Source organism: Homo sapiens, chromosome 7, assembly GCF_000001405.40.
Source record: "Homo sapiens chromosome 7, GRCh38.p14 Primary Assembly".
NCBI lineage: Eukaryota > Metazoa > Chordata > Mammalia > Primates > Hominidae > Homo > Homo sapiens.
The window spans coordinates 128,636,728-128,664,424 of NC_000007.14; the positions used below are offsets into that span (position 1 = coordinate 128,636,728).

Consider the following 27,697-nt stretch of genomic DNA (forward strand, 5'->3'; position numbering starts at 1 on the left):
TTTTTGTCACTATAGATTTGCCTAATCTGGACAAATAGAATTGTACAATATGTGATCTTTTGTGGCTTTTTTTCCCTCTTAGCACAGTGTTTTCAAAGTTCCTTTATGTCATAGTGTGTATCAATATTTCATTCCTTCTATGGCAGTATTCCATGGTAGAGACACACTGCATTTTGTTTATCTGTTCATCAGTTGGTGGATATTTGGGTTGTTTCCATGTATTCCATGTATTGGTCATTATGAATAATGCTGCTATGAAGATTGTTGTACAAGTTTTTGTGTGGACATTTATTTTTCTGGGATATATGCCTAGGAGTGAAATTGTTGCATTATAGGATGACTGTACATTTAGCCTTTTGAGAAACTGCCAGACTGTTTTCTAAAGTGGCTACACCAGTTGAGTGCAATGGCTCACACCTGTAATCCCAGCTACTCAGGAGGCTCAGCTAGGAGGATGGCTTGAGCCCATGAATTCAAGACCAGCCTGGGCAAGATAGTGAAACCCTGTCTTGATTTTTAAAAAATCCAATTAAAATGACAAGAAAAGAAATACCCAAACAAAATGGTTACACGATTATATGTTCCCACCAGTAATGTATGTGGGTTCCAATTCCTCCACATCTTCACTGACTTTTTTTTTTTTCTAGATAGGGGCTTGCTCTGTCTCTCAGGCTGCAGTGCAATGATGCCATCACAGTTCACTGCAGCCTTGACCTCCCAGGCACAAGTGATTCTCTCATCTCAGCCTCCTGAGTAGCTGAAAATTGCAGGTGTATGCCACCATGCCTGGCTAATTTTTATATTTTTTTTGTAGTGATGGGATTTTACCATGTTGCCCAGGCTGGTCTCATACTCCTGGCCTCAAGTGATCTGCCCACCTCAGCCTCCCTAAGTTCTGGAATTACAGGCTGCCACCATGCCCGGCCTTCACCAACATTTGCCATTATCTGTTTTTTTTTTTCCTTTATACCTTAAAGCAGTGTAAGAACAAGTGTCTTCAATTATAGGAAAGAGTATAATCCCAGGGCATTGGGAGGCTAAGACAGGAAGATGTCTTGATGCCAGGAGTTTCTGTTGTTGTTGTTTTTGTTGTTGTTGTTGTTGTTGTTTTTGACAGAGTCTCGCTCTGTCACCCAGGGTGGAGTGCAGTGATGGGGTCCACTGCAACCTCCGCCTCCCAGATTGAAGTGATTCTCCTGCCTCAGCCTCCCGAGTAGCTGAGACTACAGGTACACGCCACTACTGCCCAGCTAATTTTTGTATTTTTGGTAGAGTCAGAGTTTCACCATGTTGGCCAGGCTGGTCTTGAACTTCAGACTTCAGGTGATTTGCCTGCCTCAGCCTCCCAAAGTGCTGGGATTACAAGCATGAGCCACCATGCCCAGCCTGATGCCAGGAGTTTTAGACTAGCCTGGGCAACCTAGCAAGACCTTGTCTCTACAGAATATTTAAAAATTAGCCAAATGTGGTGGTGCCTGTGTATAGTCTCTCTCCCTCTCTGTTTTTTTTTTCTTTTTGTAACTTTTTGTGACATGGTCTGGCTCCTGTCACCCAGGCTGAAGTGCAGTGGTGTGATCATGGCTCACTGCAGCCTGAAACTCCTGGGATCAAGTGATCAATCCTCCCACCTCATCCTACCAAGTAGTAGGGACCACAGGTGTATGCCACCCAGGTCTTGCTATGTTGCCCAGGCTGGTCTTGAGCTCCTGGCCTCAAGCAATCCTCTCACCTTGGCCCCCCACAGTGCAAGGATTACAGGTATGAGCCACCATGCCTGGCCCCTACCCTGCCTATTGAGAACCAAAAGAAGGATCCAAATTCTCCTTAGCTCAACTCGAGCCATTTCCTGATTGCTTCATCAGCAAGGAGCTGGTTATTGGGCTGTCCAGGCCTCCCAAGCAGCACAGAAATGAGGCGAAGGAGTTTTCCTGCTGCTCCACTCTGTAAGGAGTTAGAGGGTGATGTTTGCTCGTTTGCAGAGAGAGATGCCTTGTAGGCACCTCAGGATGGAGAGGACCCTGATTCCAATGTCCTTTTTTTCTTTAGAAACAGGACCTTGCCCTGTCACTCAGGATGGAGTTCAGTGGTCCAATTATGGCTCATTGTAGCCTCAAACTCCCAGGCTCAAGCAGTCCTACCATGTCAGCCTTCCCAGTAGCTGGGACCACAGGTAAGCATCGTGACACTCAGTGAATTTTGTTTTTATTTTTTTGTAGAGATGGGGCCTCAGTATGTTGCCACGGCTGACCTTGAACTCCTGCACTCAAGGGATTTTCCTGCCCTGGCCTCCCAAAGTATTGGTATTACAGGCATGAGCCATTGTGCCCACCGTCTCTGGTTCTTAACCTTCTACTTCCCTCTTCCAGTTTTAAAGAATGCTTGTAATTACATGGGCTCTCCTAGATACTCCAGGATAATCTTGTTTTAAGGTCAGCTGATGAGCAACATTAATTTTATCTGCACTCTTAATTCCCCCTTCCTATGTAATTGTGCTGTGTAACATAGGACATGAGCAATTGGTGGGGGTGGGGGTTATTACTTTGGCCACCACAGTATTTTATGCCAGGTACTCAGCTAAGCACTGGTGAATTAAGCATGAATAACACACACTCCCTAATCTCCATCCATTCATGGGAGGAGCACCTCACCTGCCATGCTCCTGAGAATCTGGGGAGTCAAAGAAGTCTTCCATGAGGAGGTGATGCCAAAGCGGACAAGTGACAGAGTCGAAGCTAGCTAGGAAGAGAGTAGAGGTTTAAGGGGAAGCGTATTATAAGCAGAGGATATCACCCACTTCAGAGACTCCCAGAGGAGAAAGAGTGTGTGTTCAAAGGGCAGATGAGGCTCAGTTGGACTCCATAGCAGATGAAATGGAGAGGGGCAAGCAATGAGGCTGCCTTGCAAGGCAGGGCAGAGCAGGGGCTGTTGAAGGGTTTGGACTTAATCCCTGAGGCAAGGAGAAGTGATGTAAATGGGGGAGTAACATGATGAGATTAATGGATTAGAGACATGGCTCAGGCTGCTGTAGAGAAGGCACCAGGGAGAGCAGATGGCTCAATGGGTGTGTAGGAGACCTCTCACTGAGTTTAGGGAGAGGTTTTTAAAACAGAAGAAGTTTGAGTAATTTAAATGATGATGGGAAGGAGCTAAAAGTAGGGGATAGGTTAAAGATACAGGAAAGTGGGAGGAAGAACTGACAAGTGAGGTTCCAGAGAGGGCAGGAGAAGAGGAGATTCCCATAGGGGGATTAACACTTTCTTTTCTTTTTTCTTTCTAAGACAGGGTCTCACTCTGTCGTCCAGGCTGGAGTGCAGTGGCACAATCTTGGCTCACTGTAGTGTAGGCTTCCCAGGCTCAAGGGATTCTCCCACCCCAGACTCCCAAGTAGCTGGAACTACGGGTGTGCACCACCACCACACCTGGCTAATGTTTCTTTTTTTGGTAGACACAGAGTCTCACTATTTTGCGCTGATTGGTCTCCAACTCCTGGCCTCAAGCGATCCTCCTGCCTAGGCTTCCCAAATTGCTGGGATTACAGGCATGAGCCATAATGCCTGGCCTCTGCTAGTTCTGTATTCTCTAGAGTTGTCTTTACTTTGTGCTAGCGTGTCCCTCATTGTGCTAATCCTCTGTAAAAATTAATACCTTTTTTTCTTTTCGAGATGGAGTTTCACTCTTGTTGCCCAGGCTGGAGTGCAATGGCGCTATCTCGGCTCAGCGCAACCTCCACCTGCCGGGTTCAAGCGATTCTCCTGCCTCAGCCTCCCGAGTAATTGGGATTACAGGCATGTGCCACCATGCCCAGCTAATTTTGTATTTTTAGTAGAGATGGGGTTTCTCCATGCTGGTCAGGCTGGTCTCAAACTCCTGACCTCAGGTGATCTGCCTTGGCCTCCCAAAGTGCTGGGATTACAGGCATGAGCCATTGTGCCTGGCCAAAATTAATACTTTTTATATTAAATTTACATATATATACATTTTTTTCTTTTTGATACCGGGTCTCACACTGTCACCCAGGCTGGAGTACAGTGGCATAACCTCTGCTCACTGCAGCCTCCACCTGCCAGGCTCAAGCAATTCTCCTGCCTCAGCCTCCCGAGTAGCTGGGATTACAGGTAAGTGCCACCACACCCAGCTGATTTTTGTGTTTTTTGTAGAGACGAGGTTTCGCCATGTTTCCCAGACTGTTCTCAAACTCCTGAGCTCAAAGCAGTCCACCCACCTTGGCCTCCCAAAGTGCTGGGATTACAGGTGTGAGCCACCTTGCTCATTCTAGTTTAAACTTTGGAGTGGTTTGTGTCTCCTGATTGGACTCCTGCAAATACAGAATTGATGCTAGGAAGGGTACCAGGAGATAGACGCACACAGATGGGATTTGGGAATAGGTTTGGTTATCCAAGGAGCAGTGCTGAGCTCCTTGCTAATGGGATATGGGATGCTGGTGATTTCCAGTAAGTGACCTCAAAATTACTCAGGCTACCACATACTGTTGATTGTGATGAAATGCCAGTTGAAGCACCTGTCCTGCGAGCTTAGGGGTGCTACAAGTTGACCACTGCAGCAGTAAAGATGACTCTGAAGAATGGCATGGGATGGATCCTTTCGAATGCACTTGAGCAGCGGTCTCCAACCACAGGGCCACAGAGCTGGAGGTGAGCAGCAGGCGAGTGAAGGGAAACTTCATCTGTATTTCTAGCCCCTCCCATCGCTTGCATGACCACCTGAGCTCCATGTCCTGTCAGATCAGCAGCAGCATTATTCTCATAGAAGCACAAACTGTTGTGAAGTGTGCATGTGAGGGATCTAGGTTGTGTACTCCTTATGAGAATCTAATGCCTGATATTCTGTTACTGTTTCCCATCACCCCAGATGGACAGTCTAGTTGCAGGAAAACAAGCTCAGAGATCCCACTGAGTCTACGTTATAGTGAGTTGTAGAATCATTTCATTATATATTACTATGTAGTAATAATAGAAATAAAGTGCACAATATATGTAATGCACTTGAATCATCCTGAAATTATTCCCTCACTCCCAGTCTGTGGAAAAATTGTCTTCCACACATTCACTCTGTTTTTTGGTAGAGGCAGGGTCTTAATATATTGCCCAGGCTGATCTCAAACTCTTGGCCTCAAGTAATATACCTCTCTCAGCCTCCCAAAGTGCTGAGATTACAGGCATAAGCCACCACCCTCAACCAAGACTTTCTTAAACCAAAAAAAAATTAAGTGAGATTACTTGAGCCCAGGTGGTCAAGGCTGCAGTGAGCCTGATTGCACCACTGCACTCCAGCCTAGGTGACAGAATGAGACTGTCTCAAAAAATAAAATAAAATAAAATGCAAATTAACCCTTTATGACATTCGCAGTAACTTTCCCTCCTAAGTCTTTGAATTCTGTTTAATTTTCACATAACATTTAAGATGTTTAAGAACTTATGTCTGTCTGTGTCATCCCTTTATGTCAAAAGATGTCTTTTTGTCACTTCCAGCTGGATCTACCATGAAAGACCTCTGAATCCAGGAAGAGAGACTGACTGAGCAACATGTTATTCAGGTACAAAAAGATTTGGACTGTAACTCAAAAATGATCAAATAATAGTGCATGCATCAAGTGCAATGGGAAGCTCTTCTGGAGAGTGAGAGAAGCTTCCAGTTAAGGTGACATTGAAGCCAAGTCCTGAAAGATGAGGAAGAGTTGTATGAGAGTGGGGAGGGAAGGGGGAGGTGGAGGGATGGGGAATGGGCTGGGATGGGATGGAGCAAACTGCCCGGGAAGGGAAACCAGCACTGTACAGACCTGAACAACGAAGATGGCATATTTTGTTCAGGGAATGGTGAATTAAGTGTGGCAGGAATGCTTTGTAGAGACAGTAATTTGCTTGTGTGGAATTTTGCCTGAGAGACCTCATTGCAGTTTCTGATTTTTTGATGTCATCATCCATCACTGTCCTTGTCAAATAGTTTGGAATAGGTATAATGATCACAATAACCCCAAGCATAATATTTCATTAATTCTCACAGAATCACAGGTAGGTGCCACAGTTATCCCCATTTTATGAATGGAGTGATGAAGCCTTAGGAATAATGAATGATTTGCCCAAGCTCACCTGGATATTAAGACTGAGTCAGATGTTGGGTCTGGTCTGACTTTAATGTTTGCTTTGTTCATGAGCACCACGTATTGCCTCTCCTATGCAGTTAAGCAGGTAGACAGGTGACAGAAAAGCCCATGTTTGTCTCTACTCACACACTTCCGACTGAATGTGTGTATGGAGTTTCTACACCAGATTCTTCAGTGCTCTGGATATTAACTGGGTATCCCATGACTTTATTCTGACACTATCTCGAGTTAGCACAGACCCCACAAGTTAGGGGCTCAGTCCCACGAGACCATCCTCACTTCAGATGCCAATGGCAAGTCCTAAGTTGTCACCTGTACTTTTGACCGACCTGTTACAAATCAGGGGTTCCCATAACTGTCTTCTTGGGTTTAATAATTTGCTAGAACAGTTTACGGAACTCAGAAAAACAGTTTATTTTCTTTTTTTCTGAGAGAGAGGGTCTTATTTTGTTGCCCAGGCTGGTGTGCAATGGTGCAGTCATAGCTCATTGCAGCCTTGATTGTCTGGGCTCCAGTGGTTCTCCCACCTCAGCCTCCCTAGTAGCTGAGACTACATGCCTGCACCACCACATGTGGCTAGTTTCTTTTATTTTTTGTATGGATGGGGTCTTGTTGTGTTGGCCAGGCTGGCCACAAATTCCTGGTCTCAAGTGATCCTCCCACCTCAGCCTCTGAAAGTGCTGGGATTACAGATGTGAGCCACCACATCTGGCCAGTTCATTTCCTATTACTGGTTCATTGTGAAGGATACATCTCAGAAACAGTCAATGAAAGAGACGTGCATGCTTGATGCAGCGGCTCATGCCTGTAATTTCAGCACTTTGGGAGGCCAAGGTGGGAAGATCGCTTAAACTCAGGAGTTTGAGACCAGCCTGGGCAACATGGTGAAAACCTGTCTCTATAAAAAATTTAAAAATAATAATAATAACCGGTGTGGTGTTGTGCCCCTAGAGTTCCACCTACTAGGGAAGCTGAGATGAGAGGATGCCTTGAGCTGGGGACTGAGGAGGCTTAGGTTACAGTAAGCTGAGATTGTGCCACTGCACTCTAGCTTGGACAAAAGAGCCTGATCCTGTCTCAAAAAAAAGAAAGATACCCAGGGCAAGTTAAGTTCGGAGGGGCACAGAGCTCCCATGCCCTCTGTTGAACATGCGACTCTCCCAGCATCTCCTGTGTCCAGCAACCCTGAAAGCTCTGCAAACCCCGTTCAGGGTGTTCATGGAGGCTTTATTATGCAAGCATGATTGATAAAATATTTGGCTGTTGGTGATTAAGTCAGTCTCCAGCCCCTCTTCCTCCTGGAGTTCAGTGCATGAGGCTGAAAGTTCCACGCCTCTTACCATGTGGTTGCATGGTAATCAGCCCTCCTCTTGAAGAAATTTAGGAGCTTGCCACACCCAGTCATCTCAACAACATCCCCAAATGCATTCTTACCATGCTGGAGATCCCAAAGTTCTCAGAGGCTCTTGTGTTAGAAACCTGGGACCAAGACCAAATATTAAAACAAAAGATGTTCCTGTCACATCTATCACTGAGGTCTTTGTAAGAGCTTTAGAAGCTCTGTGCCAGGAACCAGGGACAGAGATTAAATATATATTTCTTTTCTTTTTTTTGAGACAGAATCTCCCTGTGTCATCCAGGCTGGAGTGCAGTGATGTGATCATAGCTCACTATAGCTTTGGCCTTCTGAGATCAAGCGATCCTCCCATCTCAACCTCCCAAGTAGCTAGGACTACACAGGCATGTCACCCATGCCCAGCTCATTTTTGTAGAGTCAGAGTTTCACCATGGTGGCCAGGTTGGCCATGTTGGCCAGATGGGGTCTTCTTTTGTTGCCCAGGCTGGCCACAAATTCCTGGGCTCAAGTGATCCTCCCACCTCGTCCTTGTAGAGATGAGATTTAGTTATGTCGTCCAGGCTGATCTCAAACTCCTGGGCTAAATCGATTGTCTTACCTCAGCCTCTCAAGTAGCTGGGACTACAGGCGCATACCACCATGTCGGGCTAATATTTATTTTTATTTTTTTCTAGAGGTGGGGGTCTCACTGTGTTGTTCATGCTAGTTTCAAACTTTGGGCCTCAAGTATTCCTCCTGCCTTGACCTCCCAAAGTGTTGGGATTCTGGGTGGGAGCCACCATGCCCAGCAATCACAAGGGTCTTTATAAAAGAAAGAGAGTAGGAGATTCAGAATTGTAGCGGGAGATGTGGTGATGAAAGCAGAGGTAAGAGAGGGAGATTTGAAGATGCTTCACTTTTGGCTTTGAAGATGGAGTCAGGGGCCATGATCCAAGGAATGGGGGTGGCTTCTAGAAGCTGGAAAAGCCAAGGGAACACTTTAGAGTCTCCAGAAGGAATGCAGCCCTGCTGACACTTTGACTTTAGCCTTAATAGACCTAGTTTGGGTTTCTGGCCCCTAGAACTGTAAGATGGTAGATTTGTGGTGTTTTAAGCCACTAAATATGGGAAACTGCAAACTATATTGCAGCAGCAAGAAGAAATGAACATGAAGCCAGGCATGATGGCTCATGCCAGTAATCCCAGCACTTTAGGAATTTAGGCAGGAGGATCACTTGAGGCCAGGAGTCCAAGACCAGTCTGGGCAACATAGTAAGACCTTATCTCTACAAAAAATGAAAAAATTGGCCAGGCGTGGTGGCTCACACCTGTAATTCCAGCACTTTGGGAGGCCGAAGCGGGCAGATTACCTGAGGTCAGGAGTTCAAGACCAGCCTGGCCAACATTGCGAAACCCCGGCTCTACTAAAAATACAAAAATTAGCTGGGCGTGGTGGCACACACCTGTAACCCCAGCTACTTGGAAGGCTGAGGCAGGAGAATCACTTGAATCTGGGAGGTTGCAGTGAGCTGGGATCGCACCATTACACTACAGCCTGGGCAAGAAGAGTGAAACTCTGTCTCAAAATAAAATAAAATAAAATACTAAAAAATTTAGCCAGGCATGGTGGCATGAACCTGGAGTCCCAGCTACTTGGGAGGCTGAGGTGGGAGGATCGCTTGAGCCTGGAAATTTGAGGTTGCAGTGAGCTGTGATTGCGCCACTGCACTCCAGCCTTGGTGACAGTGAGATCTTGAAAAAAAGAAAGAATAAAGTAAAGAAAGAAGAAATGAGCATGGTGGGCATGGGGACAGATGGCAATGTTAAATAGAATGGTCGGGGATGGCCTCCTAAGTGAAAATTGAGTAAAGACTTGAAGGAGGGGAAGGAGCTGGCCGAGGTGCTGAGGGAAGAGGATTGTAGGCAGAAATAATAGAATAAAGTGTCTGAGGTGTGTCTGAGGCTCTGGAAGGAGGCCCATGGAGCAGACAGAGAGAGGGAGAGAATTAGGGGAGGGGGCCAGGGAGTTGCTGGGTGGGGATCAGTACAGATCACATAAGCCCTGGGAGGTTATTACTGGGGCTTTGGCTTTTACTCTGACTCAGATGGGAACTGCAGGAGGGTTCTGAGCAGAGAGGCGACATGATCTGTCTCCCGATTTAAAAGCATTCTCTGGCTGCTGAGTTGAGAAAGACTACGGGAAGATGTGGGTAGAAGCATGGGGGCCAAGCTTTGGCAACATCCAGGCGGGAGATGATGGTGGTCCTGACCAGGGTCATGGTGGTGTTGAGAGATGGTCAGAGGGGAGAAGTAGGGGAGGAGGCCAGGGAGTTGCTGGGTGGGGATCTTTAGTACATGTCGAAGACAGTCAACAGGATTTCCTGACAGACTGGATATGGGGTGTGAGAGAAGGCAGGGGTCAAGGTTGAGTTTGATTGTTACTGAAATTATTAAGTAATTTTAAAAAACACTACTGCCTTTCCCAATCCTACCAAGTATGGGATGCTAGATTAAAGAAATTTCTTCAGGCTCATTGCAGTGGCTCATGCCTGTAGTCCCAGCTGTTTGGTAAGCAGAGGTGGGAGTATCTTTTAAGGGCAGGTGTTCAAGACCAGCCTGGACAACACAGCAAGATCTGCTCTTTACAAAAATATTTTTCAAAATTAAATAAATGTAGCTAGGCATGGTGATGTGTACTTGTAGTTTCAGCTACTCAGGAGGCTGAAGTGGGCAGATCTCTTGAGGTCAGGAGTTTGAGGCCAGCTTGGGCAACACAGCAATACCCCTCACTCTACAAAAAAATTAAAAAAATAACCAGGCATGGTGACACTCAACTGTACTACCAGCTACTGGGGAGCTGAGGCAGGAAGCTGGCTTGAGCCCAGGAGGTCGAGGCTGCAGCGAGCTGTAAGTGCACAGCTGCACTCCAGTCTGGGTGACAGAGCGGGACCTGTCTCACAATACAAATAAAAATACAAGTGAAATAATATCTCAAGTCAGAGCCTTTTGGCTCTGCAGCCCTTGCAACCCCTTAGCCGTGCAGTGGGGTTTGCATCGCTGGGAATGAGGAGACCCCTGCCCGGTGTTGTTGCCTGACTAATCAGTGCTTTAAAACATATATTAATCGGGGTGGGTGTGGTGGCTCACACCTGTAATCCCAGCACTTAGGGAGACCCAGGCGGGTGGATCACCTGAGGTCAAGAGTTCAAGACCAGCCTTGCCAACATGGCGAAACTCCTTCTCTACTAAGAAAATACAATAATTAGCTGGACATGGTAGTGGGCGCCTGTAATCCCAGCTACTTGGGAGGCTGAGGTAGGAGAATCGCTTGAACCTGCGGGGCGGAGGTTGCAATGAGCTGAGATTGCGCCACTTCACTCCAGCCTGGGCAAAAGAACAAGACTTTGTCTCAAAGAAAAAAAAAAAGTATTATATCAACATGTAATGGTTTTATTATTAATATGTAATGAATATTAAATATTTTTAAAATCTTGTATTATATCAACATGTAATGGCTTTAATATGTGATGAATAATATTTAAAAACTTGTGTCTTATTTTCTAGTTTTAATATAATTATCTACAGAAAGAAATAGTCTTAGAGATCTTCAATAAAGTTAAAAAATGTAAAGGGATGTTAGACCCCGAAAGACTGAGAATTTCTAGTTTAGAAATATTCAGAGTAAGCCACATACAACTTGCTACTTGAACTATTTTTTTTCTTTGTTTTTTATTTTAGGAGATGGGGTCTCACCCTGTCACCCAGGCTTGACTACAGTAGTGCTATCACAGCTCACTGCAGCCTTGAACTCCTGGGCTAAGGATCCTCCTACCTGAGCCTCCTGAGTAGCTAGGACTGTAGGTATACATGACGATACTTGGCTAATTTTTAAATTGTTTTGTAGACATGGGGTCTCACTTTGTTGGCCAGGCTGGTGTCAAACTAATGGCCTCAAGTGACCCTTCCACCCCTGCCTCCCATCCTCGAGGCATGTGCCACCACAAGGAGCACTTGTTCAATTTTCTAAAAAAAAAATTTCTAAAGTAAGGCTGTGGGATGATGGCAGGAAGATAAAAGAAAAGCAGAAGAATAAGTTAAAATGACTTATTCACACATATTCTTTTGACAGCAAGAAGAACTTTTAGTATATACATTCCTTACAAACAAACAAAAGGCAGATAAACAATGTTGTATAGGAACTTCAACACACACTGTACAATATTCCCACTTTGCTGACATAAGTTATGGAAATTTCATGTTTTACTTGAGTGTCGCTACCAGTATTTTGCTTCTCTGATGATTTTTATCAACTTCCTCATCTGTTAACTTCTCTCCAAGGTATGTCATGTCACGACATACTGCCGCTGCACGAACATGGCCAGTGTCTTCCTATTCAACATGTAGAATGCTTTCCTAATTTCTCTTTTTACTCTCTGTCTTTGTGTTCTGCATTTTCCTTACTTTTATTGTCAGAAACTCCAGAAAGTCAATCGTACTAATTTGTCACGATTTGCTTTATTAATTTATACTTTGCTTATATGGAATTTTGCCCAGCAGACCTCATTACAATTTCTAACCTGTTTTATTTTGTTTTTTTTCTGAGACAGGGTCTCCATCTGTTGTCCAAGGCTGGAGTGTAGTAGTGCTATCACAGCTGACTGCAGCCTCAACCTTCCAGGCTGAAGCGATCCTCCCATCTCAACCTCCCACGTGGCTGAGACTACAGGTGCTTGCCACTATGCCCAACTAATATTTGGAATTTTCGTATACGTGGATTCCAGAGGGGTGACAGTGAAACGTGAGTAAGCATGGATTTTGGTATATGCAGAGATGGGGGGCTGGAACTAATTCTGTATACTGAGGGACGACTGTATATGTTTTTACAATTACGCTGTAGGATACATACTGTTGCATAGCCTTGAAAATAATAATTTTTAATTGAGTGGAATAATAATAATATTGATAAAAGTAGCAGCTGGCCAGGTGTGGTGGCTCACACTGGTAATCGCAACACTTTGGGAGGCTGAGGCAGGAGGATGGCTTGAGGCCAAGAGTTTGCGATAGGCCTTGGAAACAAAGGGAGTCACCATCCCTACAGAAAAATACATGAATTAGCCTAGTGTGGTGGCATGTTCCTGTAGTCCCAGCTACTTGGGAGGCTGAGGTGGGAGGATCACTTGAGCCCAGGGAGGCTGAGACCGCAGTGAGTCATGATCAGGCCTCTGCACTCCAGCCTGGGTGACAGAGTGAGACCCTGTCTCAAAACAACAAAAAAGTAGCAGCTAATATCAACTGACCTTTTACCAGGTGCCTATTGATACCATAGTTTAATTTCTTATAACTGTTTCTTATTTCACTTACCAACTCTGTCTTCAGTTACTCCCAGATTTTTACTGTGTGTGTACAGATGACCTTTTGTTTAGATTGAATTGTCTCCCCAGAAGTAAGATTACTGTGAGTCATGGTGAATGGACATTCTCATTACCCTTGATGTAAATTGACAGGGTTTTGGGTGCCTCCCAGCTATAATCTTAGCACTTTGGGAGGCTAAGAGAGGAGGATTGCTTGAGGCCAAGAGTTGGAGGAGGCAGTATGGCAGTATGGTGAGACCCTGTCTCCATTATTTTAAAAAATTGACAGGCTTTACCCTGGAAGGCTTATACACAATTTAAACACCCCTCATAGTATAAGAAAGTGCCCATTTCACTGCACCTTTGCCAGCACAGGGTATTATAATTTAGTAAGTCATTTTTTGTTTGATTATTTTACATAGATAAAAGAACTCATATTACTTTACTTGTCACATTTCAACATCTTTCCTCAGCTTATTAGCTCTATTTCTTTTCTGTCTGTAAATGGTTGTTGTTGTTTGGTTCTTTGAGACAGGGTCTTGCTCTGTCACCAGGCTGGACTGTAGTGGCATAATCATGCCACACTGCAGCCTTGACCTCCCAGGCTCAAACTTCGCATTCCGAGTAGCTGGGACTACAAGTGTGCACCACCACCCCCAGCTAACTTTTTTCTTCTTTTGGATAGAGACAGGGTCTCACTGTGTTGTCCAGACCGGTCTCTAGCTCCTGGCCTTAAGCAATCCTCCTGCATTAGCTTCTCAAATTGCTGGAATTTCAGGCATGAGCCACCATGCCTGGCCTGGGCTAGTCCTATATTCTCTAGAGTTCTCTTTACTTTGTGCTAGCCAATCTCTCATTATGCTGTTCACCTGTTATAATGAATAATTCTCCATATTAAATTTTACCACTTTAAACTTTTGAGTGGTTTATGCTTCCTGATTGGACTCTGACTAATATGTTAGGAAGGGTCCCAGGAGATAAACCCACACAGATGGGATTTGGGCATAGGTTTGGTTTCCCAGGGGGCAGTGCTGAGCTCTTTGCCAGTGGGAAATGGGATGCTGGTGATTTCCAGTAGGTGACCTCACAGTGACTCAAGCTACCACTTACTGTTGATTGTGACGAAATGCCAGCTGAGGCACATGCCTTGGGAGCTAAGTGGTTGCTGCACTTGACCACTGTGAAGACTGGTGTGGGAAGGGTCGTTTTGGATGCACTTGAGCAGGGGTCCCCAACCCCTGAGCCATGGAGCCACAAGGAACCACACAGCAGGAGGTGAGTGGTGTCGAGTGAGGGAGTGAGGGAAGCTTCGTCTGTATTTACAGCCACTCCCCTTTGCTCACATTCCCGCCTGAGCTCCACCTTCTCAGATCAGCAGCAGCATTAGATTCTCATAGGAGAACGCACCCTGTTGTGAACTGTGCATGTGAGAGATCTAGGTTGCGCTGTCCTTATGAGAATCTAATACCTATTGATCTGTCACTTTCTCCCATCACGCTCAGGTGGGACCATCCAGTTGCAGGAAAACAAGCTTAAGACGCCCACTGATTCTACATTATGGTGAGTTCTATAATTATTTTATTATATATTACAGTGTAATAATGGAAATAAAGTGCCTAATAAATGCAAATGTGCTTACATCTTTTGGCCCAGCTCCTACCTCCCGGCAGCCTCTCCAGGCCCAGAACTTTCTCCAATCAGCCTCTACAGACCAAGCTCATGACTCACAATGGCCTATTTAGGCCCATACCCTACGTCACGGCAGTCTCCGCAGATGAGCCTACTGCCCCACAACAGCCTCCACAGGCACAGCTCCATCGTTACAATGGCCTCTTTAGACCCAGCTCCTGCCTCCCAGCCTTCTCTCCAGGCCCTGAACTTTCTCAAGTCGACCTCACCAGGCCCAGCTCATGCTTCTTTGCAGCCTCTCCAGGCCCAGCTCCTGCATCTTGGTGGCCCCTCCAGGCCCAGCCTCTGCCTCCCGTCGGCCTCTACAGTCCCAACATCTGCCTCACAGCAGATTCTTCACGCCCAGCATCTGCCTCACTGTGGACCCCCCAAGCCAAGCTCCCAACCTTTCAGCAGCTTCTACACACCCAGCTCCTGCCACCCAGTGGCCTCTTTAGGCCAAGCTCATGCTTCACAAGGGCCTTTCCAGGCCCAACTTTTGTCTCATGGCAACCTTCCCTGGCCAGATTCCTGCCTGTCTCCCAGCAGCCTAGACAGGCCCAGGGCCTCTCTACATGCAGCTTATGCCTCACGGTGGCCTCTCCAGGCCCAACTCCTGTCCCAGGACGTCATCTCCGGGCCCAAAACTTACTCAAGTCAGACTCTGTAGTCCCAACTGCTGCCTCCTGGTGGCCTATGAAGGCCCAAAATCTCCTCAAGTTGACCTTTCCAGGCCCAGCTCCTGCCTCCTGTCAGCGTCTACAGGCCCAACCTCTACGTCATGGGGGCTTCTCCAGGCCCACCTCTTCCTCTTGGCTGGGTCTACAGGCACAACTGCTGCCTCACAACAGCCTTTTTTGGCCCAGTTCCTGTCCAGCTCATGGCGGCCAATGTAGGCCCAAAACTTCCTCAAGTCAAACTCTCCAGGCCCACCTTCTGCTTCCCAGTGGCATGAACAGGCCCAGCTTTGACTTGAGAACAGCCTCTGCAGGCCCTGCTCTTGCCTCCCAGGGGCTTTTTCCAGGCCCAGCTCTTGCCTCATGGCAGCTGCCCCAGGCCAAATTTCTGCCTGCCTGCCAGCAGCCTCAACAGGCATAGCTCCTCCCTCACAGTGGCCCATTTAGGCCCAACTCATGACTGTCGGGCCATTTCCAGGCCTAGTGCCTGCCTCGTGGCTGACTCTTGAAGCCCAAAACTTCCTCAAATCAGCCTTTTGCCCAACTTCTGTCTACTGTCGGACTCTACAGGCCAGCCTCTGCCTCACAGTGGACCCTCCAGACCCAGATGGTGTCTCACTGTGGCATCCTCAGTCGAAGCTCCTGCCTTTCGGCAGCCTCTCCAGGCCCAGCTCCTCCTGCCTCCCAGTGGCCTCTTTCGGCCCAGCCCAGCTCATGCCTCCCGGCGGCCTTCCCAAGCCCCGCTTTTGACTTTCGGTGGCCTCTGCAGGCCTCGACAAGGCCCAGCCTCCTGCCTCCCGAAGGCCTGCACAGGCCCAGCCTCTGCCTCACAGCGGACTCTCCACGCCCAGCTAGCTGTCGCCTCATTGCGGCCTCCCGAGTCCAAAGCTCCTGCCTCTCGGCCGCTTCGGCAGGCCCAGCTCCCACCTGCCAGTGGCCTCTTCAGGCCCATGGGGCTCGTTCCTCACAACGGCCTTTCCAGGCCCAGTTTTTCCCTTCCGGCGGCCTCTCCGGGCCCAGAACCTCCTCAAGTCGGCCTCTCCAGAGCCACTTGCACCCTCCGGGCGTCCTCTCCGGGCCCAGCTCTTCTTCCTGGTTGCGTCTCCAGGCCCGACTCCTGCCTCTCAACAACCTCTTTGGACTCAGTGCCTACCCATCTCCTGGCGGCATTGGTCGGCCCACAGCTTCCTCAAGCCAAGCTCCCCAGGCCCAGGTCAGGCCTCACGGTGGCCTCTCCAGGATGAGCTCCTGCCCTCCGATGGCATCTCCAGGCCCCAAATGGTCTCCGGTCGGTGGGCTCCTCCACGCCAAGCTTGGGCCTCCCGGCGACCGCTGCAGGCCCAAGTTGTCCTGAAGTCGGCCTCTCCTGGCCCTGCCTCCCAGCAAGTAAGCAAGCTCTTTTGGCTCAACTCCTGCCCAGCTCCCAACCGCCTTTCTAGGCCCCGAACTTTCTCCAGCCAAGCTCTGAGGGCCCACCTCCTGCCTCCTGGTGGCCTGTACAGGCCCAGCACTGGTTGGAGAACAGCCTCTGCAGGCCCCGCCCTTGCCTACCAGGGGCCTCTCCAGGCGCAGCTCTTGCCCCCACGGCGGCCTCCCGGGGCCAAGTCCCTGCCTGCCTCCCAGCAGCCCACGTGCGGCCCAGCTCCTCTCTCACGGTGGCCTGTTGATGCCCACCCTCCCACGCGGACAGAGGTCAGCCTGAGCCCCTTGCCTCACACCGGCCCCTCCCACGCGGACAGAGGTCAGCCTGAGCCCCTTGCCTCACACCGGCCCCTCCCACGCTGAGAGAGGTCAGTGTGAGCCCCTGCCTCAACAGGCCACCGTGAGGGAGGAGCAGGGTCGCACGCGGGCTGCTGGGAGGTAGGCAGGGACTTGGGCCTGGGAGGTCGCGGTGGGGCGAGAGCTGGGCCTGGAGACTCCCCTGGGAGGCAACAGCGGGGTCTGCAGACACCCTTCTCCAGCTGGAGCTGGGACTGTTCAGTCACTGGGAGAAGGGATGTGGGTCTGAAGAGCTTGGTTGCAGAAACTTCGGGGTCTACAAAGGCCGGCGGGAGCTGAGCCAAAAGAGCTTGTTTGCTGGGAGGCGGGAGATGCAGCCAGGAGGAACAGCTGGGCCATGCGGGAGGCAGAGGCCGGGCCTCCTCAAGTCGGCCTCTCAGACCCACTTGCAGCCTCCCAGCGTCCTCTCCGGGCCCAGCTCTTCCTCCCGGCTGCGTCTCCAGGCCGGACTCTGGCCCGACTCCAGGTCCCAACAACGTCTTTGGACTCAGCTCCTGCCCAGCTCCCAGAGGCCCTGGTAGGCCCACAACTTCCCTAAGCCAAGCTCCCCAGGCCCAGCTCAGGCCTCACGGTGGCCTCTCCAGGCTCAGCTCCTGCCCTCCGATGGCATCTGCAGGCCCCAAACGGCCTCCGGTTGGTGGGCTTCTCTAGGCCCAGCTTGGGCCTCCCGGTGGCCTCTGCAGGCCCAAATCGTCCCGAAGTCGGCCTCTCCAGGCCCAGCTCCGGCCTCCCAGCGGCCTCTGCAGGCCCAAGTCGTCCTCAAGTCGGCCTGGAAGTGGGCCTGGAAGAGCAGCAAGTCGGCCTCCCCGGGCCCAGCTCCGTCCTCTCGGCGGCCTCTCCAGGTGCAAAACTTCCTCGAGTCAGCCTCTCCAGGCCCAGCTCTTCCTGCCTCCCAGTGGCCTCTTTCGGCCCAGCCCAGTTCATGGCTCTCGGCGGCCTTCCCAGGCCCCGCTTTTGACTTTTGGCAGCCTCTTCAGGCGCAGAACTTGATCTCCAGTCGGCCTTTGCAGGCCCGGCCTCCTGCCTCTCAAAGGCCTGCACGGGCCTGGCCTTGGCCTTGGCCTCACAGTGGACTCTCCACGCCCAGCTAGCTCTCGCCTCACTGCGGCCTCCCCCGTCCAAAGCTCCTGCCTTTCGGCCACTTCGGCAGGTCCAGCTACTGCCTGCCAGTGGCCTCTTTAGGCCAAGCTCATTCCTCACAACGGCCTTTCCAGGCCCCGTTTTTCCCTTCCGGCAGCCTCTTGGCCTCTAATTTGTTTATCTTTTGTGTATAAATCCCAAAATATGGAATTTTGGAATATTTCCACCATTATATATTTTGGTAGGTAATTTATTTGGAGTGAGTTTCTGCACCATGCCCGAACTTTTTGTTTTATTTTCCTTATTATTTGGTGTTAAACAGGTTTAATGACGGTCATGGCAACTTTTTGGCACAATGAAAAATATCGCCCATGATCAACGTGTTCTGTTCTGGGGAAGGGGGCAAAGGCAGGGTGAATCACTTTCTTAAAAAGTATAGCTCAAGTTGGGAGTGCAGAGGGAATGGGGAGAAAACCCTTCCGCTGCCTGTGTCGAAGTGCAGGAGCCCCCACCCCCATACTCACCTGAGTCCAGCCCCTCTGGGGAAAGAAGGGGTGCATGAACTCCCCTTAGTCCACAGGCGCCTCCCTGTGGCCCAAGGCCCTCTTCACACTCCATCTTGTAGCCCCAGCAGGAGCTATTTTCCGAAAAGTGAAAAGCTCTGAAGGTCCCACAATTCATGGTATGTACAGGGGCTCGGAGGAGGGAAACTGCCCAGCTTTCCCCCGGCACAGCTGCAGGGGTAGGGGGTATAGATAAGAGGAGCAGGCCTTGGCCAGGCGTGGTGGCTCACGCCTGTAATCCCAGCACTTTGGGAGGGGGAGGCAGGCAGATCACGATGTCAGGAGATCGAAATCAGCCTGGCCAAGATGATGAAGCCCCGTCTGTACTAAAAATACAAAAATTAGCCGGACGTGGTAGCGTGCACCTGTAATCCTAGCTACCCGGAAGGCTGAGGCAGGAGAATGGCGTGAACCCGGTGGGAAGAGTTTGCAGTGAGCCAAGATCGCACCACTGCACTCCAGCCTGGGCGACAGAGCAAGACTCGGTCTCAAAAAAAAAAAAAAAAAAAAAAAAAGGCAGGCCTTACTCCGTCCCAAACTGAAAGGATTAAATGGCTTTACCTGGGAGAAGATAACCATCCTGCCCTCCATTGCTACCCCCACATACTGTCCATGTTCTCAGGGGGTACTGTGAGTCCTGGGATCTTTGGGGTTGCCCACCTGCCTGTGGTAGTTATGGAGACCCCCCAGGTGTTTAGGCAGGGCTGGGGTGTCCCCTTCCAACCAGGCTGTCAAGGCCCCAACTCTGGGGCAGAGGCAGTGGCAGGGCAGCCAGGGTTGCGCCAGAGCCTGAGCAGGTTGAGGTGGGGTCAGGCAGGGCTGGGAGTCAGGGCAGGGGCAGCAGCAGTGGACCCGCTATGCACACATCGTCTTCTCCAAGGTTTGTGTGCAGAACATCCTGCCCATGCTGCCCCAGCAGCTTCAGTTGGCACCTGCCCCAGTCCAGCCTCTGGGAACCATGCAGCAGCTCCCAGCGGCCCTGCACCCACCACCAGCATCCGTTTCACCTGCAGTTGAAGATCCGTGAGGTGCCCAGAAGATCATGCAGTCATCAGTCCCACGGAGCAGCCCGTGAGGCTGAGGCTCCTCCCACTGGACCGCCCCCCAACTGGCACCACTGCTGCCCCTGCCCCTACTCTCAGCCTCACGTGACTCTCGGGCAGAGGCAGTGGTGGGGCAGCCAGGGCAGCGTCAAGAGTCTGAGCCAGGTGAGGTGCGGTCAGGACCCCCACAGGGCTGGGAGTCAGGGCAGGGGCAGAACAAACCTTGGAGGGGAAGATGTGTGCATAGTGGGCCTGGAGGGCGGCTGTGGCCTAGTGGACAGGAAGAAGCAGTGGGCCTGGAAGAGCTGCATGATCAGGGCCGGCACTGGTCCAGGGCACGTGCAGTGAAGAGGACAGCGCCTTCTCGGTCTCCGGTTCCCTGAGCCTGTCCTTGGCTTCTCCACCTGTACAGGCAAAGGGGAAGCTGTCCCCATCACACATGGCACACTTGGGGGTGTTGGGCTTTGGACTGCAGCTGGAGCATCTTCTCATCTTGCATTTGGGCGTGGTGGGGTCCTCCAGTGTGGGATCCATGTCCGTGGGGTTCCCTCTGCCCCGACCCCGAAAGCCCAGTCAGTTTCTCTTCAGGCTCTGCCCCCCGGGTGGCTCAGCCCAGCTCCTGCCTAGGAAAGCCTTAGTGTTGGGAGGGACCCTGATGACTGAGGAGCCTGGTAGCTCCAGGTCGCCCACACTTTCAGGTCTCTTGCACCAGAAGGTGGCAGGATCCATTGGGAGGAAACAGGTCACCTTGGAAGGCGTCCCTGGGCCCCCATCCCCAGGGGTAGGGGCCGTAGGGGGCCCGCTCTGCTGCCTTGACCAGACTCCTGGGCATTGAAGGCTCCTGGGCCCAGTAAGAAGGAGGTGGGTGCCAAGGTTGAGGAGGAAGCATCCGAGTATGTGTAGGAGGAGGACAAGGTGGGACCATAGACTTTGCCAAAAGCTGCAGGTGGATCGGGGGACCCTGGGGGCTCAGGATCCAGCAAGGGGCGGCAGGAGTAAAGGAGGAAGGAATGACAGGTGCAAATACCTTCCCACCAAAGCCCTTGTTGCCCTCTGGCTCCTCCCCAGAGTTGTCCCCACTCTCAGTCGGTCACCCACTCCTTGAACTTGAGATCGGTGTCAGTGGTGCTAAAGCCATCATCAGCAATGACATCATCACCCCCTCCTCCTCATGGATGACCGTGTGCTCCTCGTCACTTGCTATGTCCTCACTGGCCATGTGCTGGGAATGAGCAGCTCAGGTGGGCAGCAGCAGGGCTGCCCACTGGTCACCTCCCTCACCAGGGGCTGCAAAGTGGCCTGGAGCTCCATACTGAGTAGAAGGCTTTGGGCCAGAGTATGATGCAGTGCCAGACACCACCTGTGTCAGTTCCCGTAGTGCCTGACGGTCTATTTCCCTGCCGTCCAGGCTGTGTACCCCACTGTGGGAGAAGGCTTGGGCCAGGCTAAGCCAGGTTCCCTGACTGTGTGCAGCCATTCTGCCCCACAGAAGCTGCTCCTTGGTATCCGAGCTCTGGAGTGTTTGGGCTGCAACTGACAGGAGTTCAGAGGACACCCCAGGGGCAGTGGCAGTGCCCGTCTCTGATATTCTCCGCTCCCACGAGCCCTTGTTACACTCCTGCTAGCCCCTGGCTTGTGGGCTTGGCCTCTGAGCTGGACTTCTTTCGGTCCTTGTTGCAAGTGGGCCACCTTCACCTGGAAGGCCAGGTCGTGGTATTTCTGCGTCTCATTGGGCCCCAGGGTGTACCACCGCTTGCTCAGCATCTGGCTGACGGTCCGGTTGTCCTGGTTGGGGTGACCCTGGTGCGCCCTGCCAGGGCCTGGTGCCGCTTGCTGAAGATCATGACCGCCACTCATGGGCCACCGGATGTGGTCCTTGTCCCATTTGTTGGGGCTGCATCCATCCTTCTCAGAAGATGAGTCCTGTTCCTTGCGCAGGGCACTGAGGGACTGGGCCTGACATCATCTGGCTGGTAGAGGCAACTGGGTGTCAGGAGACATGATGGAGAGGAAAGCATCATCATGGTCATTCTCTGTCTCACTGTCCAGCAGGGACTCCCCTGAGGGGCCCAGGGCTCCTCCTCCATGGTGGGAGGTGAGCTTTTACCAGGTTCCACCACCCCCAAAGTGTGTGGGGTTGCGGGCCCTGGGCTTTCAGGGCAGGTGGCTCCAGGGGGCCACCCAGGGTCAGCACTCCCTGTCCCACCTGGTGGACACTCATGAGCAACAGCTGCTGACTTGGCAGGTTCTTTGCTCTGGTTGGAGGCCACTGAGTGACTGGCAGGTTGCTGGACCTCACATAGCTGCAGGGAGGGGTCAGGAAGGGGACAGAGTACCAGGAGAACACAGCCACAGAGCAAGGTTCCACGTTCCTCCACACAAACATGCTGACGCCACTGGAGGCCTCGCTGGACGCAGACATCAGGGGCCTGTGGGCCAAGTACATGGTCTGGGCAGGGGGTTCCTGGCAGGGGCTCACACCTCCTCAGCCCCCTCCTCAGCCAAGGCAGCTTGGACCCACGGAAGTGGGGATGGAAGGGGAGCATGAGGCCAGGCCTCAAGTTTTTGTTTTTGTTTTTTTTTTTTTTGAGATGCAGTTTGGCAGGCTGGAGTGCAGTGGTGCGATCTCAGCTCACTGAAACCTCCACTTCCTGGGTTCAAGCAATTCTCCGGCCTCAGCCTCCCATGTATATGCACCTTTACTGCTGAATATTATATATTTTCTTATGCTTTCATGTGATTGATTAGCATTCTTTTTTTTTTTCTTTTTGAGACAGAGTGTTGCTGTCGCCCAGGCTGGAGGGCAGTGGTGTGATCTCGGCTCACTGCAACCTCTGCTTCATGGTTTAATTGATTCTCCTGCCTCAGCCCCCTGAGTAGTTGGGATTACAGGCACCCGCCACCACACCTGGTTAATTTTTTGCATTTTTAGAAGGCGTGGGTTTTTGCCATGTTGGCCTGGCTGGACTTGACCTCCTGACCTCAAGTGATCCACCCTCCTTGGCCTCCCAAAATGCTGGGATTACAGGCATGAGCCACCACACCCAGCTGCTTTCTTTCATTTTTACTTGAAAAACTCCATTAAGCATTTCTTTTAAAGTAGACCTAGTGGTGGCTCATACCTATAATCCCAGCACTCTGGGAGGCCAAGGTTTCAGGATCGCTTGAGCCCAGGAGTTCAAGACCAGCCTGGGTAACATAATGAGACACCATCTCTACAAAAAATGCAAAAATTAGCTGAGCATGGTGGCACGCACCTGTAGTCCCAGCTACCTGGGATGCTGAGGTGGGAGGATCACTTGAGCCCGGGAAGTCACAGCTGCAGTGAGCCATGATCGCACCACTGCACTCCAGCCTGAACAACAGTGTGAGACCCTGTTTTTTATTTTTTATTTTTATTTATTTATTTTTTAAAGACATAGGTAGCTAGAGTAATACAGAGATGAAAGGGAGAGTATTCACACACGCTTCTTAAAATAGAAATTACTAAATTTTATTTTACTTAAAATAAAATTTAGCTGTGAGGATTCTCCACAAGGCTGCTCATGACATGGCAGATGGCTTCCCCTTGGGTGGAATGACAGGAGGGCGAGGGCCAAGGTGAGGGTGGTACGGAGAGAGAAAAAACTACCAAGATGAAAGCTGCAGTGCCTTTTATAACCTAATCTTGGAAGGGACATATCACTACTTGTGCCTTATCCTTTCAGTCACACAGACCAACCCTGATATGTTATGGATAGGGACTTGGAGACTGCTCCAAAGACCAGGAGGTGACGATCACTGGGGTCCTCTGGGAGACTGGCCACCACAGTTGCCTTTTCCTTTTCAGGTCACTTACAAGGGTCTTTGTTGCTATGGAGGTGGATGTGGGCATAATCAAAGGGTACATGTTGTACAGGCCTTTATTATACAAACCTCTACAATAAAACAATAACACATCACTGCCAAGACAGTTATACAGTGTTAAATTGGAATGGAAAGGAAGGAATCAGAATTTCATGTGATAGAACACTTAAAAGTCTGCCTGTGCACATGTATGAATATGCATTAGGGAGAAGTAAAAGAGTGACCTGAAAATCTTCCTAAAGTAATATTATCTAGAAAGTTTGAGAGGTTTAACTGTGGCTAACAAGATTTCCTGAAGATAAAATGTTCCTGGGGCCTTAATAGTTACAAGAACTTTACCAAATCAAGAAAGCAAATATATAGGAGTCTAAAAATTATTTAGTTTTGCATATTCATTTCAGAGTACCAATTATGATTTTATTTCTTTTTAATTTTTAAAAGTTTAGAAAAAAAACGAGAACCAATTACAATGTTAAAAGGAAACAGGAAGGATAGATTTGGGGCCAATTATATTACTGTTTGGGTTTTTGTTACTATAAAAATGGAAATATTAAAGATTTTAAAAAATGAGTGGTAATAGAGTACAAATCTGCAAATGATGAATCAGCAATTATATTTTTATACCAAATGGTATGTTTGTGATATTGATATAGTATTAATGCACTGTGAATTTATTTATTTATTTTGAGATGGAATCTTGCTCTGTCGTGCAGACTGGTGTGCAGTGGTGCGATCTCAGCTCACTGCAACCTCTGATATGGTTTAGCTGTGTCCCCACCCAAATCTCATCTTGAATTCCTATGTGTTGTGGGAGGGACCTGGTGGAAGGTCCATGAATGATGGGGGCAATCAATTCTTTCCTGTGCTGTTCTTATGATAGTAAATAAGTCTCACAAGATCTGATTTTTTTTTTTTTTTTTTTTTTTTTTTTTTCCAAGACAGAGTCTCACTCTGTCACCCAGGCTGGTGTGAAGTGGTACAATCTCAGCTCACTGCAGCCTCTGCCTCCCGGGTTCAAGTGATTCTCCTGTCTCAGCCTCCCAAGTAGTTGGGATTACAGTTGCCTGCCACCATGCCTGGCTAATTTTTGTATTTTTAGTAGAGAGGGGATTTCACCATGTTGGCCAGGCTGGCCTTGAAGTCCTGACTTCAGATAATCTGCCTGTCTCAGCTTCCCAAAGTGCTGGGATTACAGGCGTGAGCCACTGTGCCCAGCTGAGATCTGATGGTTTTAAAAAGAGGAGCTCCCCTGCATGAGATCTCACTTTTTGCCTGCTACCATTTATGTAAGATGTGACTTGCTCCTTCTTGCCTTCCATCATGACTGTGAAGCTTCCCCAGCCATATGGAATTGTAAGTTCAATTAAACTTCTTTTCTTTGTAAATTACCCAGTCTCGGGTATGTCTTTATCGGCAGCATGAAAACGGACTAATACAGTAAATTGGTACCAGGAGTGGGATGTTCTGAAAAGATATCTGAAAATGTGGAAACGACTTTGGAACTGGGTAATAGGCAGAGGTTGGAACAGTTTTGAGGGCTCAGAAAAAGACAGGAAAATGTGGAAAAGCTTGGAACTTTCTAGAGACTTGTTGAATGGCTTTGCCAAAAATGCTGATAATGATATGGACAATAAGACCCAGGCTGACGTGGTCTCCGATGGAGCTGAGGAACTTACTGGGAACTGGAGCAAAGGTGACTCTTGTTATGTTTTAGCAAAGCGACTGGCAGCATTTTGCCCCTGCCCTAGAGATGTGTGGAACTTTGAACTTGAGAGAGATGATTTAGGGTATCTGGCAGAAGAAATTTCTAAGCAGCAAAGCATTCAAGAGGTGACTTGGGTGCTGTTGAAAGCATTCAGTTTTAAAAGGAAAACAGAGGATAGAAGTTTGAAAAATTTGCAGCCTGGCAATGCGATAGAAAATTGCATTTTCTGAATAGAAATTCAAGCCAGCTGCAGAAATTTGCATAAGGAAGGAGGAGCCAAATGTTAATCCCCAAGACAATGGGGAAAATGTCTCCAGGCCATGTCAGAGGCCTTCACGGCAGTCCCTCCCATCACAGGCCCAGAAGCCTAGGAGGAAAAAGTGGTTTCATGGGCTGGGCCCAGGGTCCCCAAGCTATGTGCAGCCTGGGGTTTGGTCCACTGCATCCCAGCTGCCCCAGCTGTGGCTGAAAGGGGACAATGTAGAGCTCGGGCCCTGGCTTTAGATGGTGCAAGCCCCATGCCTTGTGGTGTTGAGCTTCCATGTGGTGTTGAGCCTGCAGGTGCACAGAAGTCAAGAATTGAGGTTTTGGAACCTCCACCTAGATTTCAGAAGATGTATGGAAATGCCTGGATGCCCAGGCAGAAATTTGCTGCAAGGGTGGGGCTCTCATGGAGAACCTCTGCTAGGGCAGTGCAGAAGGGAAATGTGGGGTCGGATCCCCCACACAGAGTCCCTACTGGGGCACTGTCCTCCAGACCCAGAATGGTAGATCCACTGACAGCTTGCACTGTGTGCCTGGAAAAGCCACAGACACTCAATGCCAGCCTATGAAAGCAACCAGGAGGGAGACTGTACCCTGCAAAGCCACAGGGGCAGAGCTGCTCAAGACCATGGGAACCTACCTCTTGTATCAGCATGACCTGGATGTGAGACATGGAGTCAAAGGAGAACATTTTGGAGCTCTAAGATTTGACTGCCCTGCTGGATTTTGGACTTGCATGGGGCCTGTAGCCCCTTTGTTTTGGCCAGTTTCTCCCATTTGGAATGGCTATATTTACCCAATGCCTATACCCCCATTGTATCCAGGAAGTAACTAACCTGCTTTTGATTTTACAGGCTCATAGGTGGAAGGGACTTGCCTTGTCTCAGATGAGACTTTAGACTGTGGACTTTTGAGTTAATGCTGAAATGAGTTAAGACTTTGGGGGACTGTTAGAAAGGCATGATTGGTTTTGAAATGCGAGATCATGAGATTTGGGAGGGGCCAGGGGCAGAATGATATGGTTTGGCTGTGTCCCCATCCGAATCTCATCTTGAATTTCTGTGTGTTGTGGGAGGGACAGGTGGGAGGTCATTGAATGATGGGGGCAAGTCTTTTCTGTACTGTTCTTGTGATAGTGAATAAGTCTCATGAGATCTGATGGTTTTAAAAAGAGGAGTTTCCCTGCTCAAGCTCTCTCTCTTTGCCTGCTGCCATCCCTGTAAGATGTGACTTGCTCCTCCTTGCCATCTGCCATGATGTGAGGCTTCCCCAGCCACGTGGAACTGTAAGTCCAATTAAACCTCTTTTCTTTGTAAATTATCCAGTCTTGGGTACGTCTTTATCAGCAGCGTGAAAACAGACTAATGCACTCTGCCTCCTGGGGTTCAAGCAATTCTCATGCCTTAACCTTCCAGGTAGCTGGGACTACAGGTGTGGACTACCATGCCTGGCTAATTTTTGTATTTTTGGTAGAAACAGGGTTTTACCATGTTGGCCAGGCTGGTCTTGAACTTCTGCCTCAAGTGATCCACCTGCCTCGGCCTCCCAAAGTGCTGGGATTACAGGCATGAGCCACCGCACCTGGCCTGCACTGTGAATGTATAATCCCAGTGATTAGATATGGATATTAATGTTATTCATTTCCTTTTTACCTTATTTTATGTTTGTTTTTAATAATAATAATTTTGTAACATTTGAAGATATAAATATCCTTAAATACTTTTACAGTCATGTTAAAAATTCTTCGGATTTCAAAAACAATGAAAAAATTGATAATGCATTTGGAAATTGTAGAAATATGAGAGAGTCCTAATTTTGAAAATGAGGCACTCTGATACAGGTCAGTTGTACAAGGACATGAGTACATTAGTACTTTGATACCTTCATGTTTGGCAGTTATAGTCAGGTACTTCTTTTATGAATTTAAAATTAGTAATTTATTTTATGACCAACTTCAACTTTTCAGGAGCTGTTATTGTGAAAGTTTTTTTGCTACTATGAGTTTTATCCAGTCAGAAACAGGAACCAATTGTAAACAATTACTTCTATTGCTGCAAACAATTTTTAAAAACCTGCCAAATATGCAATGCCTTGCTATTCAAAAGAAAAAAAATTCATTGGTTTAACTCCATAGTTTTTTTGTTTTTGTTTTTGTTTTTTTGAGATGGAGTCTTACTCTGTTGCCCAGGTTAGAATGCAGTGGCACCATCCTGGCTCACTGCAAACTCCACCTCCCGGCTTCAAGCGATTCTCCTAAGAGTAGC

The 27,697-nt window shown here is 49.1% G+C and overlaps 1 long non-coding RNA gene and 1 pseudogene across 1 annotated transcript; one reads left to right on the forward strand and one right to left on the reverse strand.

The window, feature by feature from the left end:
- The first annotated feature begins 4,513 nt into the window (after positions 1-4,513).
- Positions 4,514-24,271, forward strand: LINC01000 (long intergenic non-protein coding RNA 1000). Its single transcript, NR_024368.1, has 5 exons — positions 4,514-4,652; positions 5,490-5,554; positions 12,065-12,255; positions 14,311-14,368; positions 14,462-24,271. It is a non-coding gene; the product is annotated as a long intergenic non-protein coding RNA 1000 (long non-coding RNA).
- On the reverse strand, positions 18,324-22,103 carry CICP14 (capicua transcriptional repressor pseudogene 14; annotated as a pseudogene).
- Positions 24,272-27,697: the final 3,426 nt, after the last annotated feature.